This window comes from Homo sapiens, chromosome 11 (genome assembly GCF_000001405.40).
Source record: "Homo sapiens chromosome 11, GRCh38.p14 Primary Assembly".
In the NCBI taxonomy this organism is placed as follows: domain Eukaryota; kingdom Metazoa; phylum Chordata; class Mammalia; order Primates; family Hominidae; genus Homo; species Homo sapiens.
The window spans coordinates 56,227,617-56,243,609 of record NC_000011.10 but is presented as its reverse complement, the minus strand read 5'-3'; the positions used below and the strand labels follow the sequence as shown (position 1 = coordinate 56,243,609).

Genomic DNA, 15,993 nt, shown 5'->3' with positions numbered 1-15,993 from the left:
CCTGCCTCAGCCTCCCAAGTAGCTGGGACTACAGGCACCCACCACCATGCCCGTCTAGTTTTTTGTGTTTTTAGTAGAGACGGTTTTCATCGTGTTAGCCAGAATGGTCCCAATCTCCTGATCTCATGATGCACTCACTTCAGCCTCCCAAAGTGCTGGGATTACAGGCATGAGCCACCATGCCTGGCTGATTGGTTCCAATTTTGAAAGAAGCTCTACTATGAATAAAATGCTGTCAGACCACATTTTGCATGATACAGATAAATATTTTGTGAAACAAAGAGTCAACCAATGTGGCAAACTTTATTGATTTCTCATTTTAAGTAATTGCCACAGCCTCCCCAACTTTCAGCAACCACCACCTTGTGAGTCATCAGGGATTTTACTGATTGTTTTCTATTTGTTATGTATATCCTTTATTCCTCACTTTCAATCTTATTGCTTATTTTTGTGGTTGGGTGGTTGTGTAGTGATTTGATTTGATTATTTTCTCTTTCTTTGTGTATTGGCTCTACCAGTAAGTTTTGTAATATCACATGTTGTCATGATGGTGGCAATCTTCTTTTCATTTCCATATGTAAGACTTTCTTGGGCATCTTTTTTTTTTTTTTTGGAGTCTTGCTCTGTTGCCAGGCTGGAGTGCAGTGGCACAATCTGGGCTCACTGCAACCTCTGCCTCCCAGGTTCAAGCGATTCTCCTGCCTCAGCCTCCCGAGTAGCTGGGACTACAGGCATGCACCACCATGCCCAGCTAATTTTTGTATATTTAGTAGAGACGGGGTTTCACCATGTTGGCCAGATGGTCTTGATCTCTTGACCTCGTGATCTGCCCGCCTGGACCTCCCAAAGTGCTGGGATTACAGGCGTGAGCCACCGCGCCTGGCAGAGCATTGTTTTTAAAGCTGGTCTAATGCCGATAAATTCCTTTAGTTTTTGCTTGTTTGTGGAAGGTTTTATTTATCCATCATTTCTGAAGACTAGCTTTGCTGTGGATAATATTCTTGGGGTGATAGCTTTTTTTTTTTTCTTTTAGTACTTTGAAGATACCATCCCATATTTCCTGGTCTGTAAGGTTTCTGCTTGAGTAATCCCCTGTTAGTCTAATGGGGGTTTTCTTTCATGTGACTTGAGGCTTTTCTCCTGATGCTGTCAAAATTCTTTCTTTGTTTTTAATTTTTGACAATTAATTTGACACTATAATGTGCCTCAGAAAAGACCTATTTGAATAGAATCTATTCAGGTTTATTTGACCTTCCTGGACCTGCATATTCATCTCACATCCAAGATTTGGGAATTTGTCTGCTATTATCTTATTAGCTATGTTTTCTTCACCTTTTTCCTTCTGTTCATCTTCTGGAATATCCATAATACAAATATTTGTTCACTTTATGGTGTGCCGTAAATCTGGGCACAGAAGTGTTTCACAGGCCTGTGTTAGGGCAGCACAGTTGCTTGGCTGGACTGGGGGGCATACCCCACAGAGGCAGACTATAAGACAGTTTTCCAGGGCCTTATTGGGGGTGCAGGGCCTTTGGCCAAGCAAGGGCATGTATGTGGGGGGCAGGAGTGCTGCATGGCTGTTTCTCAGGTCCTGAGCAGGGGTGCTGGTAGCTATTCCACTGGCCCAGGGATATATTAACTGTTTGGGGGTTTCAGGGGCCTCTCCAGCTTGGGGAATGGCATGTGAACAGTTTGGCTGGCTCAAGAGTGGATTTGCCCTGGCTGGGACTAGCACATTTTTCTCTAGCTGGAAGTACAGTGATGGGGGTTGGTTTTCTTGCTGTATAGGACTAGAGTCACAGAGTCAATCCTGGACCCAAACTCCGTGTGGGTTTGACATAATGAAGATGGAACTTCAGAGCTGGAGAGGTGCAGTGACTACTGCACCTCAGAGAAGGCTTCTTTCCAGAGCAGGCTTTGATCTCAAAATGGTGTTGTGTTGCAGCAGGTTGGCTCACAGGGCATGGGTTGGGAGTATGGTGTGGTGCATATCTTCTTCTCCTAATCTGGGACAATACAGCTGTGTGAATTCTCAGTAGATGTCCAAACTGGGTTTGGGGTTGGCTCACAAGGCATGGGTTGGAGTTATGGTGTGGTGCACATCTCGTTCTCCTAATCTGGGGCAATACAGCTGTGTGAATTTCCAATAGATCTCCAAAGTGGATTTGGGGCTTGGGAAGACTAAAACTTCCCTGTAGTAAGGCCCGTAGGTGTTTACAGTGGCAACGGGGGCTGTTGGAGATCTTCTGATTACCTCCAAAATTTCCAACTTGGTTGGGCATGGTATATAATGCCCAGCACTTGGTATATACCCAGCACTTTGGGAAGCTGAGGTAGGAGAATTGCTTGAGCCCAGGAGTTCCAGACCAGCCTGAGGAACATAAGGAGACTCTATCTCTACATAAAATGTTAAAAAAAAAAAAAAAAAAGCCAGGCATTGTGGTTCATGTCTCTAGTCCCTGCTACTGGGGAGACCGAAGTGGGAAGATTACTTGAGCCCCAGAATTTGAGGTTGCTGTGAACCATGATCACACCACTGCACTCCAGCCTAGGCAAAAGAGAAAGACCATGTCTTCAAAAACAAATGAACACAAAAGTCCCTCCTGTCTCTGGGATGATCCATCCAATCCCTGTGGAAGAGAAAGGGCTGCAGAGGTTTGGTGCCTCAGTGCTGTCTTCCTGGCTTCTAATCACTACAGGTACATCTTTATACCCCTGCTGTATTTCAGCACTCTCTCTTTGACACACCAGTCAAATCTTAGTTGTTTACTATTTGCCTTGGTTCTTTCTTGTGGGAGTGATGAGTACCAGGAGTCTCTAGTCAGCCATCTTGCTGACTTGCATTATTCAGTAACATAGTTTTTCATCAAGGTATGTACATTGTCTCTTTAAAGAGGTAATGCTACTTCATATTTAATAGACAGAAGTATAGTGTAAAAATAACTTTTTTACTCACTGGGAAACCAAAACAATGTGTGTGACTCACTTTATGGTGATATTGACTTTATTACCGTGATCTGGAACTGAATCTGTAATAGCTCTAAAGTATGCCTGTATATACTGATTTTCCTATACATGCCTACCTACTATAAAGTAAAAGTTACTAATTAGGCACTGTAAGAGATTAACGAAAATAAGTAGTAATAAAATAAACTAATTGTAACAATATTCCATCATTACTATTCTTGTACTTTAGGGCCATTATTAAGTAAAATAAGGGTTTCTTGAACATAAGCACCATGATACTGGAACAGTGAATCTGATAACCAAGATGGCTACCAAGTGACTAATGGCACAGATTTCATCGCACTACTCAGAATTGCCACAATCTATCACTTATGATTATTTTCTGAAAGTTTTTGTTTAATATTTTCAGATTGTGGTTGACTGTGGTTAGCTGAAACTGTAGAAATTAAAACCATGGATAAGGGAGGGAGTGCTGTATTGTATATACATATACATAAATATACAGATACAGGTATATCTATATTATCATTTCATCTGAGAAAGAAATAAGTATTCTGGAATTATAAAACCTCTTGACTTATGAAGCTGTATAGTTTTAAATATTTTATGTTTCCTCTGCATGTTAATGGCTTTTTACTTATGCTTTTATATTTCTCTTGCCACTTTGGATAATAATCTTTTCAATACGTTTAAAATTTATACTTTTTTTACTTCTAACACAACACTTTATAACTTTCTTAACTTTCTTTTTAAATTTAGGGGTACATGTGCAGGTTTGTTATATAGGTAAACTTGTGTCTTGCAGGTTGGTTGTACGGATTATTTCATTACCCAGGTATTAAGCCTAGTTTTCATTTGTTTTTCCTTGATCCTCTCCCTCCTTAACCCCCCATGCTCTGATGAGCCCAGTGACTGTTGTTCCCCTCTATGTGTCCATGTGTCATCATCATTTTTCTCCCACTTACAAGTGAGAACATGTGGTATATGGTTTTCTGTTCCTGTGTTAGTTTGCTAGGGATAATGGCCTCCAATTCCATCTATGTTCTTGCAAAGGACATAATCTCTCTCTTTTTTTTAATAGTTGCATAGTGTTCCGTGGTGTATACATACCACATTTTCTTCATCTAGTCTACCACTGGTGGACATTTAGATTGATTCTATGTCTTTGCTATTGTGAATAATCACTTTATAATTTGAAAAGAGTGTCAGTATAATGAGTTTGGATAATTTTAAATCCATTTGCTATATTCTAACAGAAATATATTGTACTTTTACATTATTATAGTTTATCCTTTTTACTGGCTGACTGCAATACAAAATAGCTTACACATCTCATGCTCATGGATGGGTATGATCAATACTGTGAAAATGACCATACTGCCCAAAGCAATCTACAGATTCCATGCAATTCCCAATAAACTACCATCATCATTCTTCACAGAACTAGAAAAAAAAAATCCTAAAATTCATATGGGAACAAAAAAGAGCCCACATAGCCAAAACAATACTGAACAAAAAGAACAAATCTGGAGGCATCACATTACCTGACTTCAAACTATCTTATAAGGCTATTGTTGCCAAAACAGCATGGAGCATGGTACTTGTATAAAAATAGGCATGTAGACCAATGGAATAAAATAGAGAACCCATGAATAAAGCCAAATACTAACAGCCAACTTATCCTGAACAAAGCAAACAAAAACATAAAATGGGGAAAGGATATCCTTTTCAATAAATGGTGCTGGGAAACCTGGCAAGCCAATGTAGAAGAATGAAACTGTATCCTCATCTCTCACCTTATAAAAAAATCAATTCAAGACTGTTAAAAGACTTAAATCTAAAACCTAAAACTATAAAAATTCTAGAACACCATAAAAACTCTTTTAGACATTGGCTTAGGAAAATAATTCACAGCTAAGACTCAAAAAACAAATGTAACAAAAACAAAAATAAATAAATGGAACTTACTTAAAGTAAAATCTTCTGCACAGCAAAAGAAATGTTCAGTGGAGTAAACAGACAACCTACAGACTGGGAGAAAATATTCACAAACTATGCATCTGGCAAAGGACTAATATTCAGCACCTAAAGGGAATTCAAACAAATCATTAAGAGAAAAACAAATAATCCCATCAAAAATAGGCAAAGAACAAAAATAGACAATTCTAAAATGAAGATATACAAACAGCCAACAAACACATGAATAAATGCTCAACATTGCTAATTATCTGGGAAATACAAATTAAAACTACAATGAGATACCACTTTACTCCTGCAAAAATGGGCATAATTAAAAAGTCAAAAACAATAGATGTTGGTATGCTTGTGGTGAAAAGGGAACACTTTTACACTGCTGGTGGGAATGTAAACTAGTACAACCACTATGGAAAACAGTATGGAGATTTCTTAAAGAACAAAATATAGAACTACCATTTGATCCAGCAGTTCCACTACTGGGTATCTACCCAAAGGAAAATAAGTCATATGAAAAAGACACATTCACATGTATAGCAGCACACATTCACACGTATAGCAGCACAAATTGCAATCGCAAAGATATTGAACCAATCTATGTGCTCATCAACCAACGAGTAGAAAAAGCAAATGTGGTATATACACACCATGGAATACTACTCAGCCTTAAAAAGGAATGAAATGATGTCTTTTGCAGCAACCTGGATGGAGCTGGAGATGTTATTCTAGGTGAAGTAACTCAAGAATGGAAAACCAAATATTGTATGTTCTCACTTATAAGTGGGAGCTAAGCTAAGAGGATGAAAAGGCTTAAAAACGATATAATGGACTTTGAGGACTCAAGGTGGAGGGTGAGAGAGGGGTGATGAACAGAAGACTATATATTGGGTACAGTGTACACTGCTTGGATGACTGGTGCACCAAAATCTCAGGAATCACCGCTAAAGAATTTACCCATGTAACCAAAAACCACCTGTATTCCATAAACTGTTGAAATAAAAATAAAATTTATGAAAATGGAAAGCCTTCAAAACCAAAAAATAAAATAAAAATAAGACAAAATTGCATATATTTTCAGGATGAGGAAACTGAACCTCAGAGAAATTAAGTTCTAACCCATGGTCACCACTATGATTGAAGCTTAAACTTTAGGATTTAAGAGCTCTTACCTAGTCTTGAATCATAGTTTTTTCTAAAGCATCATTTTCTGTGTTTTTGTTTTTTCAAAAATTTTATGATAAGAAATTTAACATGAGAACTACCTTCTCAACAAAATTTATGTGTGTGATGCAGTATTAACTATAGGCACAATGTTGTACAATAGATCTCTAGAATTCTTATGTCATACATGATGGCAATTTAGTATCCATTGAATATAAACTCCCATTACCCCTCTCCTCAGCCCCTGGCAGCCCACCATTCTACTCTCTAATCATTGAGAGTATTATAGATATCGCACGTAAGTGGAATCACACAGTGTTTGTCAGTAAAGTCCTCCTGGTTCTACCATGATAACACATATGACAGGGTCTACTCTTTTTAAAGCTGTGTATATACCTCTTATTCGTTTGCCATTAATCTATTAATGCACATTTAGGTTGCTTCCACATTTTGGCCATTGTGAATAATACTGCATTAAACATGGACTACATATATCTTCAAAATCCTGATTTCAAGTATTTTGGATAAATACCCAGATATCGAATTGTAACTGCCAAATGGATTTTTTGCTGACTGCTCCACAGACAAAATCAATTTACTGAGACCACGGCATTGCAGTAAAGAAAAGAATGGAAAAATAAATATCATGTCATCTCATTCATAAGCTGGAGCTAAGCTATGAGGATGAAAATGCATGAGAATAAGCAAAAGAGATGAGGCTTGCCACACCATATGGGAGAGGGAGTTATTACTCAATTCAATCTCCTTGAAGGCTTGAAAGTTAGGTGCTTTTCAAAGATAGTTTGATGGGCAGAGGGCTAGGGTATGGGTGTTGCTGATCAGTTTAGGATGAATCATAGGGATGTGGAAAATGATCCTCATGTGTTGAGTGTGTTTCTGGGTGGGGGCCACATGACTGTTTGAGTCAGAGGTCCAGGTGGGGCCATCCAGCTATCAGATATACAAATATTTGAAAAGAATCTCAAAATGCCAATCTTAGGTTCTACAATAGCTATGTTATCTGCAGGAATAATTGGGGAAGCTGCAAATCTTGTGACTTCCAGGAAAAAATGGCTGGTAATCATTTTACTAGGCCTATATCTTAGCAGAACACAGACTCCTCTCATCCTCTTAACTTGGTGCCTTTGATTAGTTTTACAAAGGTGGTTTAGTTTTTGCAAAGGACTATTATCATTTAAACTATAAACTAAATTTCTCCCGAAGTTATTTGGTCCATGCCCAGAGATGAGCAAAGACAGACAGCCTGTGATGATAGAAGCAAGAAGAAGTCAGTCATGGCAGATTTCTCTTACTGTCATAATTTTGCGAAGGTGGTTTCAGAATTTCAGGATTGTATAGTAATCCTGTTTTTAATGTTTCAAGGAACTTCCATACTATTTTCAATCATGGCTGCACTGTTTTATATTCTTGTCAACAGTACACCAGGGTTCCAATTTCTCCACATTCTTATCAATACTTTTTTTTTTTAAATAATGGCCATAACAGGTGTGTGATGATATCTCATTGTGGTTTTGATCTGCAATAATTAAAATCTCCATATTACCCAAAGGGGTCTTCAGATTTAATGCATTTCCTGCAAAATCCTAGTGCTGGGTTTTACAGAAATAGAAAAAACATCGTAAAAATTATGTGCAATTACAAAAGACTTCAAATAGCCAAAGGAATCTTGAGAAAGAAAAACAAAGCTAGAGGTATTATACTTTTTTATTTCAATGATATTACAAAACTACAGTAATTAAATAGCATGGGACTGGAATAAGGACAGATATATAGACCAACGGAACAGAATAGGGAGCCTGGAAACAATCCCACATGTATATAGTCAAATGATCTTTCACAAGTGTGCCAAGAATACACAATGGGAAATTAAATTGGACCCTTGTCTTATACCATATAAAATAACCAACCCAAAATGGATTAAAAATTTAAACATAAAACCTGAAACTACAATTTCTAGAAGAAAACATAAGGAAAAACTTTAGGACCTTCAGCTTGGCAGTAACTTGTTGGATGTAACATAAAAATACAAGCAATGACATAAAAAGCCAAGTAACAAAACCAAAATTAGACAAGTAGGGCTACGTCAAAGTCAAAATCTTCTGCACAATGAAGAAAACCATCAGCCAAACAAAAAATATTTGTAAATGATATATCTAATAGGGGATTAATATCAAAATATATAAATTCAATAGCCACAATAACAATAATCTTATTTTAAAACTGGCAAAGGACTTGAATACATTTTTTTTCCAAAGAAGACATACAAATGGCCTTCAGATGTATGAAAAGATGTTCAACATCAGTAGTCATCAGGGAAATTCAAATCTGACACATTTTAAACAGAAGCCAAAGAACTCTATTGATTCAATAAGTAGGAGCATGCAGTGCCTTATTCCGGAATCATTTACTTTTTATTATTAAGTAAATCATCATGGTGCTATTTTGAAACAGAAGATAATTGGGGCATATTCCCCTTGGGACATCTCCTTGGATTTCATCAACAGTCAATTACAAAGATATAAACAATCTAAGTTAGCCATATTCATAGAATACCTAAATCTGCATTTGCTGTTCCACAGGTAAGAGAAAATTTCAGATAATTTGAAGAATATTTCGGCAGCTAGAACCTACAATATCAAGAATAACTATGTTTTTTTTTACTAAACTTTTTAGCTGCTAAACACCAAGAACTAAACACTTCAGTTCTGGACTATTACATATGTGAATCAAGTGTATTCATCAAAATATGATTTATTTAGAGTTATGCCTAAGAATTAAAATCCAACACTTACTAGAAAACAATAAAAAATAGAAAATATTGTATTTGTACTTATAGAGATAAATAAGAGTGCTCCTAATAGAGTATATGCTTGTATTTTTCTTATAGATAAAGATAGTTCAAAGGTCATGAATTTACCAATAAATATCAACAAAGGGCAAAAAAACATTTGACTTATTCATTTATCTGGGGTCTTGTATTTTGAAGTAATAAGGAAAACAATCAATACTTATTTTAAATTTATTTTCTGGCTTTATAATCTAGAAGTCACTTCAGATTGCTACTTATTTTATGTTTCTCTAGATTTAATGGCTTAAAAAATACAAATACATCGAGAATCATGTTTTGCTTTACCTTTATTTCCCTGAGGTCAGCAGAGGGGTAAGAGGAAGAGTGTTCCAGTTGCAGAATGAAGCCATTTATGAGGCCATGAAAAAATGCAAAAATTTCATGTACAATGAGAGAAACCTGGGATTGAATCTTGGCTCTGGAAATTGTTAGCTATGAAAGTTGCTATAAAGGTGAAATAAGGTAATGTACAAGAAATGTCTGTTCTTGCAGCAAGTGCTAAATAAATGCCTGTTATTTAGCAAACTTAGTGTTTCGTTATTACATTCACGATATTTAAAGTTTTCTCCCTTCCATTAAAATTTGTTTCATAAAAATAGATTTGCATTAATTTAAAAAGTTGATTCTATATTATTAAATCTTCAAGAATCATAGTGATTTTCTCTTTATAACTCTGAATCTTTGACTATGTGCTAATATTAACTTAATTTTTACCCAATATAACTTATTTTGGCATCTAGTAGAAATGCCTGTCTCACAAGAAATTTGGTTGAAGTATCTTATTTGCACAAAGCAAAATTAAGACAATTGTAATGTAGAAAATGGAATCATGGTAATTTGCATGTTTATTTTTGGCATAAAATGATCAAGTAATTCACAAAACTTCTTCATTCTCCAAAGAATAATTCAGAGACATTTGAATGAGCAGATGAAAAAAATCATAACTGTTCATTGGATTTAATCTTGATAGAATGTAGAACCAACTTAATTCAGCATATTCTATAATCAAAATTATTTTACATATTATATTTTATTAATGCAATTTTCCTTCAATATTTACTCCAATCTTGTGAACAAACTATTAATGTTCTCATTCTATAGACAAGTAGATATAGCAAATCATTTTGCACAATTGCTACAAGTTCTAAAATTCTGGTATTGTATTCCAATGCTCTGTCCCCTGATACAGTCTCTTGTGTATTTGGATGCCCAAAGATTGTTTAAGCCACTCATTTTTGTGTGTTTTAATATTATTTAATATATAAACAGCTTAATACAATTCAGTGGTAAATTAACCAGTAGACCTGATGATTTTAGAAACAGAATAAGTCCAGCCAACTAATGAACGTCCATTTCTTCCATTTGATTCTGCAGTGAGTGGCATGAACACATGGCTGACCAGTTTGTCACTGTCTTCTGATTCACTACTAGAGAATTATGCACTGCTGAATATATGTCGTACAGTATATACAAGAGCACAGTTAACATCCCCTTGAGTCATGGTGTTGTTCATTCTTTTTGTCATAATATGAACTGTAACTTTATGCATATCTTCAAGTTTGTTCTAGATTTCAACATGAAGAATGTCACTGAAGTTACCTTATTTGTACTGAAGGGCTTCACAGACAATCTTGAACTGCAGACTATCTTCTTCTTCCTGTTTCTAGCAATCTACCTCTTCACTCTCATGGGAAATTTAGGACTGATTTTAGTGGTCATTAGGGATTCCCAGCTCCACAAACCCATGTACTATTTTCTGAGTATGTTGTCTTCTGTGGATGCCTGCTATTCCTCAGTTATTACCCCAAATATGTTAGTAGATTTTACGACAAAGAATAAAGTCATTTCATTCCTTGGATGTGTAGCACAGGTGTTTCTTGCTTGTAGTTTTGGAACCACAGAATGCTTTCTCTTGGCTGCAATGGCTTATGATCGCTATGTAGCCATCTACAACCCTCTCCTGTATTCAGTGAGCATGTCACCCAGAGTCTACATGCCACTCATCAATGCTTCCTATGTTGCTGGCATTTTACATGCTACTATACATACAGTGGCTACATTTAGCCTATCCTTCTGTGGAGCCAATGAAATTAGGCGTGTCTTTTGTGATATCCCTCCTCTCCTTGCTATTTCTTATTCTGACACTCACACAAACCAGCTTCTACTCTTCTACTTTGTGGGCTCTATCGAGCTGGTCACTATCCTGATTGTTCTGATCTCCTATGGTTTGATTCTGTTGGCCATTCTGAAGATGTATTCTGCTGAAGGGAGGAGAAAAGTCTTCTCCACATGTGGAGCTCACCTAACTGGAGTGTCAATTTATTATGGGACAATCCTCTTCATGTATGTGAGACCAAGTTCCAGCTATGCTTCGGACCATGACATGATAGTGTCAATATTTTACACCATTGTGATTCCCTTGCTGAATCCCGTCATCTACAGTTTGAGGAACAAAGATGTAAAAGACTCAATGAAAAAAATGTTTGGGAAAAATCAGGTTATCAATAAAGTATATTTTCATACTAAAAAATAAATTATAAAAGGTGAGGGTGATACTCTGCACCTCAATACCAAGAATGTGTCATTGTGGTGTTATGATATATGTTGGTTTCCATCCAGGGTTCCTGGCTCATAATTCCCATAGCCTTTGTTACAGTCTTTTGTTATAATGTTGGGTGTTATACCTCAGGGGCAGGCCTTTTACCTTCTCCTGCCCTCCTTTCACTTGCACCAAGGCTGGGTTCCAATGTCTGCCTTACTGATTGTGAATCTTAAGACTCTCCCATGAGAGAGTCCCACCCTATACCTTCGGGGAGGGAATGCTGATGCCTTGAAGCTTCCATAGAACCTAGGAGGATAGGGTTCAGTGAGCTTCTGGGGAGCAGAACAAATGGAAGTTCCTAGAGGGTGGCATGGTCAGGGAGGGCATGGAAACTCTGCACCCCTTTCCTTATACTTTGCCCTACACATCCCTTCACCAGTGTCCTTTGCAATATCCTTTTCAATAAGCCAGTAATATGTTTCCCTGAGTTTTGTGAGCTGCTTCAGTAATTTAATGAAACCCAAAGAGGGGGTCATGGGAGATCCAACTTGAAGCAGGTTGGTCAAAGTTTCAGAGACCCGAATTTGTGACTGGTGTTGTCAGGGGGCAGTTTTGGGGACTGAACCCTCAACCTATGGGATCTGACACTATCTCTGGGTAGATAGTGTTGCAACTGAATTAGAGGATACCCAGTTGGTGATTACCACGTGGTGTGGGAGGAAGAAATCCCTACCCATTTGATCACAGAAGTCTTCTGTGTTGATGATTGTTGTGGTATGACAGTAGAGGAAAAACCTGGTTAGCAAGAGTTTTCCCTAGACGATAATAAAAATGTTTAATTTATTAGTGTAATCCTGTTTTTTTTCTTGGACGTTTTAAAATAAAGATCATAAGTGACCCTGTACCTATGCTGTTCTTACATGTAGAAAAATCTGTGTCATCTATTTTCTTTATGTATGTATACATATACATATGTTCACGTATACATGTACATACATGCTGATAGTCATTGATATACACAAAAATGCACATTCACAGGCATTTATGTTTGTAACCTTTACTTAAAAATGTGTATTGTTTTCTTTCATCTCCATATAATGAATATTTTGAATATTTTGCTAAAATATGATTAATACATCTAAATCACACTTCAAAAGTATAAATATAGAGCATATCCTCCCACAGAATATTTCTACATAATACATCTGCATTTATTTTCTCCTGTTTGGAGGCTCTGTCCTCTGATATTATGTGATTCCTTACTTCAAAAGTCAAAATTAAGTTATGGTCATTGATATTCATCATATGTGTGTGCAAAATCATGCAAATGAGGACAGCCCCTGTGTGCATATGTGTGGCGTGTGTGTGCTTGTGTGTATGTTTTAGAATAGAAGAGATCTTTAAACACCACTTAAAATCAGAAAGATTGTTTTCATTCTTTAAAAATTGTAAAGTCTGCATGACAAAAAGTACCAAAAATATAATAAAAAACCAAACTACAGACTTGGGAAAATAGATACAATCATTCATTTGTTGAGTTAATTCATAATAAAATTTATAGCACAATGCATAAAATATACATGGATAAAATTCATAAAAGGTGAAACCTCTTATGGACAATGGATATACTTTAATAATAATCTAGAAAATGTAAATGTGAAATGATAGAAAACACTCAAACACTTTTGGGTAATTTGCTAGCAAATACAAACTAAGGTGAGTACACTAAATTTGAAACTTTATAAACTAAAAGCTTTCATAAAATAAACAATTTCTTTTCATGTATCAGACACAATTTGTTATCAAGAATACACATCAGTTACATGGGCAAAATAAAAGTTGGGACTTAATTTAAAAAGGCACACAACATGTAAAATTATATCTAAACTCATTTAAAAATAATATATTAAGGTAAAATTCCCATGTGATAAAATTAACTATTTATGGGAATAATTAATTCAGTGGCAATTACTACATTCACAATATTGTGCAATCACCACCTCTGTCTAGCTCCAGAACACGTCCATCAGTAAGAAGTACACAATAAGTAGTTTCTCCCCAGTTCTCACTTACTCCAGCCCCCCAAAATCTGTGCTCCATGTCTGTATTTTCCTATTCTGGATATTTCTTATAAAGGAACCATAGAAAAGTGACCTTTGCTTCCTGTTCTGCTTTCACTTAGCATAATGTTTTCAAACATTATTTGAAAACATTCCATGTCTGTTGTAGCATGGGTTGTTTTATCATTTATTTTATTTTATTTTATTTATTTATTTATTTATTTATTTATTTATTTATTTATTTATTTTTTGAGACGGAGTCTTGCTCTGTCGCCCAGGCTGGAGTGCAGTGGCACGATCTCGGCTCACTGCAAGCTCCGTCTCCCGAGTTCACGCCATTCTCCTGCCTCAGCCTCCCGAGTAGCTGGGAGTACAGGCGCCCACCACCACCATGCCCGGCTAATTTTTTGTATTTTTAGTAGAGACGGGGTTTCACCGTGTTAGCCAGGATAGTCTCGATCTCCTGACCTTGTGATCTGCCCGCCTCGGCTCCCCAAAGTGCTGGGATTACAGGCTTGAGCCACCGCGCCCGGCCTCTTTTATTTTTTAAATTGTGTTTTATTGTGCTTTACATGAAATATACCCTCTAACATTTGTAAGTTTACATTACTTTTAATTATAGGCACAATGTTGGAAGTAGATCCTTAGAACTTATTTATCTTGCATATTGAGACTTTATACCTGTTGATTAAAAACTCCCCATTTCTCCCAGCTCCTAGTCCGTTGAAACTGCCATTCTACTTTCTGGTTCTATAAGTTTGAGTATTTTATAGATTCTTCCTATAAATGGAATCATGCAGTATTTATTATTTTGTTACTGGTTTGTTTCATTTAGTATAATGTCCTCCAGGTTAATCCATGTTCTCCTATATTGCAAGATGCCCATATTTTAAGGCTGAATAATATGCCATTGCATGTATATGCCACATTTCCTTTACCCATTCATCCATCAATGGACTCTGAGATTGTTTCCACCTCTTGGCTATTTTGAATAATGCTGCATGAACATGGGTGTTCTAATATCTTTTTGATATTGTAATATAAACTCTTTTGGATAAATACCCCAAATTTGGAGAGATTATTGGATGATATGGTAGTTCTATATTTTTTTAGCAGTTTCCATAGTGTCTGCACCATTTTGCTTTTCATTGAAAAATTTCAAGGGTCCTAACTTCTTCATATTTTTTTCAATAATTGCTGTCTTTTATTTTCTTTTTAATAATTATCATCCTCACACATCCTCACAGGTATAAGGTGATATTTCATTGTGGTGTTGATTTGCATTTTCCTCCTGAGTGGTGATCTTGAGTATCTTTTCATATATCTGTTGGTCATTTGTATCTCTTCTTTGAAGAAATGTCAATTCATGTCTTTAGCCTGTTTTCAATTGGGTCATTAGGATTTTTTGTTTGTTTGTTTGTCGATATAGAGTTGTAGGAGTTTTTAATATATTTTAGAAGTTAAACCCTTATCAGATATATGGTTTGCAAATATTTTCTCCCATTTTGTATACTGTATATACACTGTGTTGATTGTTTCCTTAACTATGCAGAAGTTTTTTAGTTTGATAAATTCCAACTTGTCAATTTTGTTTTTATTTTGCTGTCTGTACTTTTGGTATCATCTTCAAGCAATCATTCCCAAGACTAATGTAATAAAAATTTTCTCTATCTTTTCTCCTAGGAGTTTTGAATTTTCAGGTCTTATGTTTAATCCATTTTGAGTTGACTTTTGAGTATAATTAGATAAGGGCCCAATTTTATTCTTTTGCGTGTGGATATCCAGTTTTCCCAGAACCGTTTGTTGAAGAGACTCTCCTTTACTCTGTGTTAGGAGCCCTGTCGAAGATGTGGACCATATATATGTGGATTTGTTCTTTTGATCTCTCTCTATCTTCCAGTGGTCTATATGTCAGTCTGTATGTAAGTACCATACAGTTTTGTTTTGTTATTTTTTTGAGGCAGAGTCTCAATGTGTCACCCAGGCTGGAGTGCACTGGTGCAGTGGCCTGATTGTGGTTCACTGCAGACAACGTTCTGGATTTAAGAGATCCTCCTGCCTCAGCCTCCCAAAAAGCTGGGACTAGAGGTGCATATCACCATGCCCAGGTAATTTTTATGTTATTTTATTTTTTGTAGAGATGAGATCTAATTATGTTGCCAAGACTGGTTTTGAACTTCTGGCCTCAAGCAATCCACTTTCCTCAGCCTTCCAAATTGCTGGCACTATAGGCGTGAAACACTATGTTTTGTCCTGTGCAGTTTTAATTACTGCAGATTTGTAATATATTTTGAAATTAGAAAATATGGAACCTCCAGTTTTGTTCTTCGTCTTCTAGATTATTTTGACTACTCAGGGTGTTTTGTGGTTCCATATAAAATTTAGGGCTTTCTTTTTTTCTGTTACTGTAAACCAGGTCT

General features: G+C 36.3%; 1 protein-coding gene across 1 annotated transcript; it reads left to right on the top strand.

Moving 5' to 3' along the window:
• The first annotated feature begins 9,354 nt into the window (after positions 1-9,354).
• On the top strand, positions 9,355-12,328 carry OR5T2 (olfactory receptor family 5 subfamily T member 2). Its single transcript, NM_001004746.4, has 2 exons — positions 9,355-9,433; positions 10,346-12,328. Exon 2 carries the CDS (start codon positions 10,548-10,550, stop codon positions 11,502-11,504), a length of 957 nt encoding a protein of 318 aa, NP_001004746.2. The 5' UTR covers positions 9,355-9,433; positions 10,346-10,547; the 3' UTR covers positions 11,505-12,328.
• Positions 12,329-15,993: the final 3,665 nt, after the last annotated feature.

What these genes read in the sequence shown, in the direction of transcription:
- OR5T2 (NM_001004746.4), top strand. Translation starts at nt 10,548, where the DNA reads ATGAAGAATGTCACTGAAGTTACCTTATTTGTACTGAAGGGCTTCACA.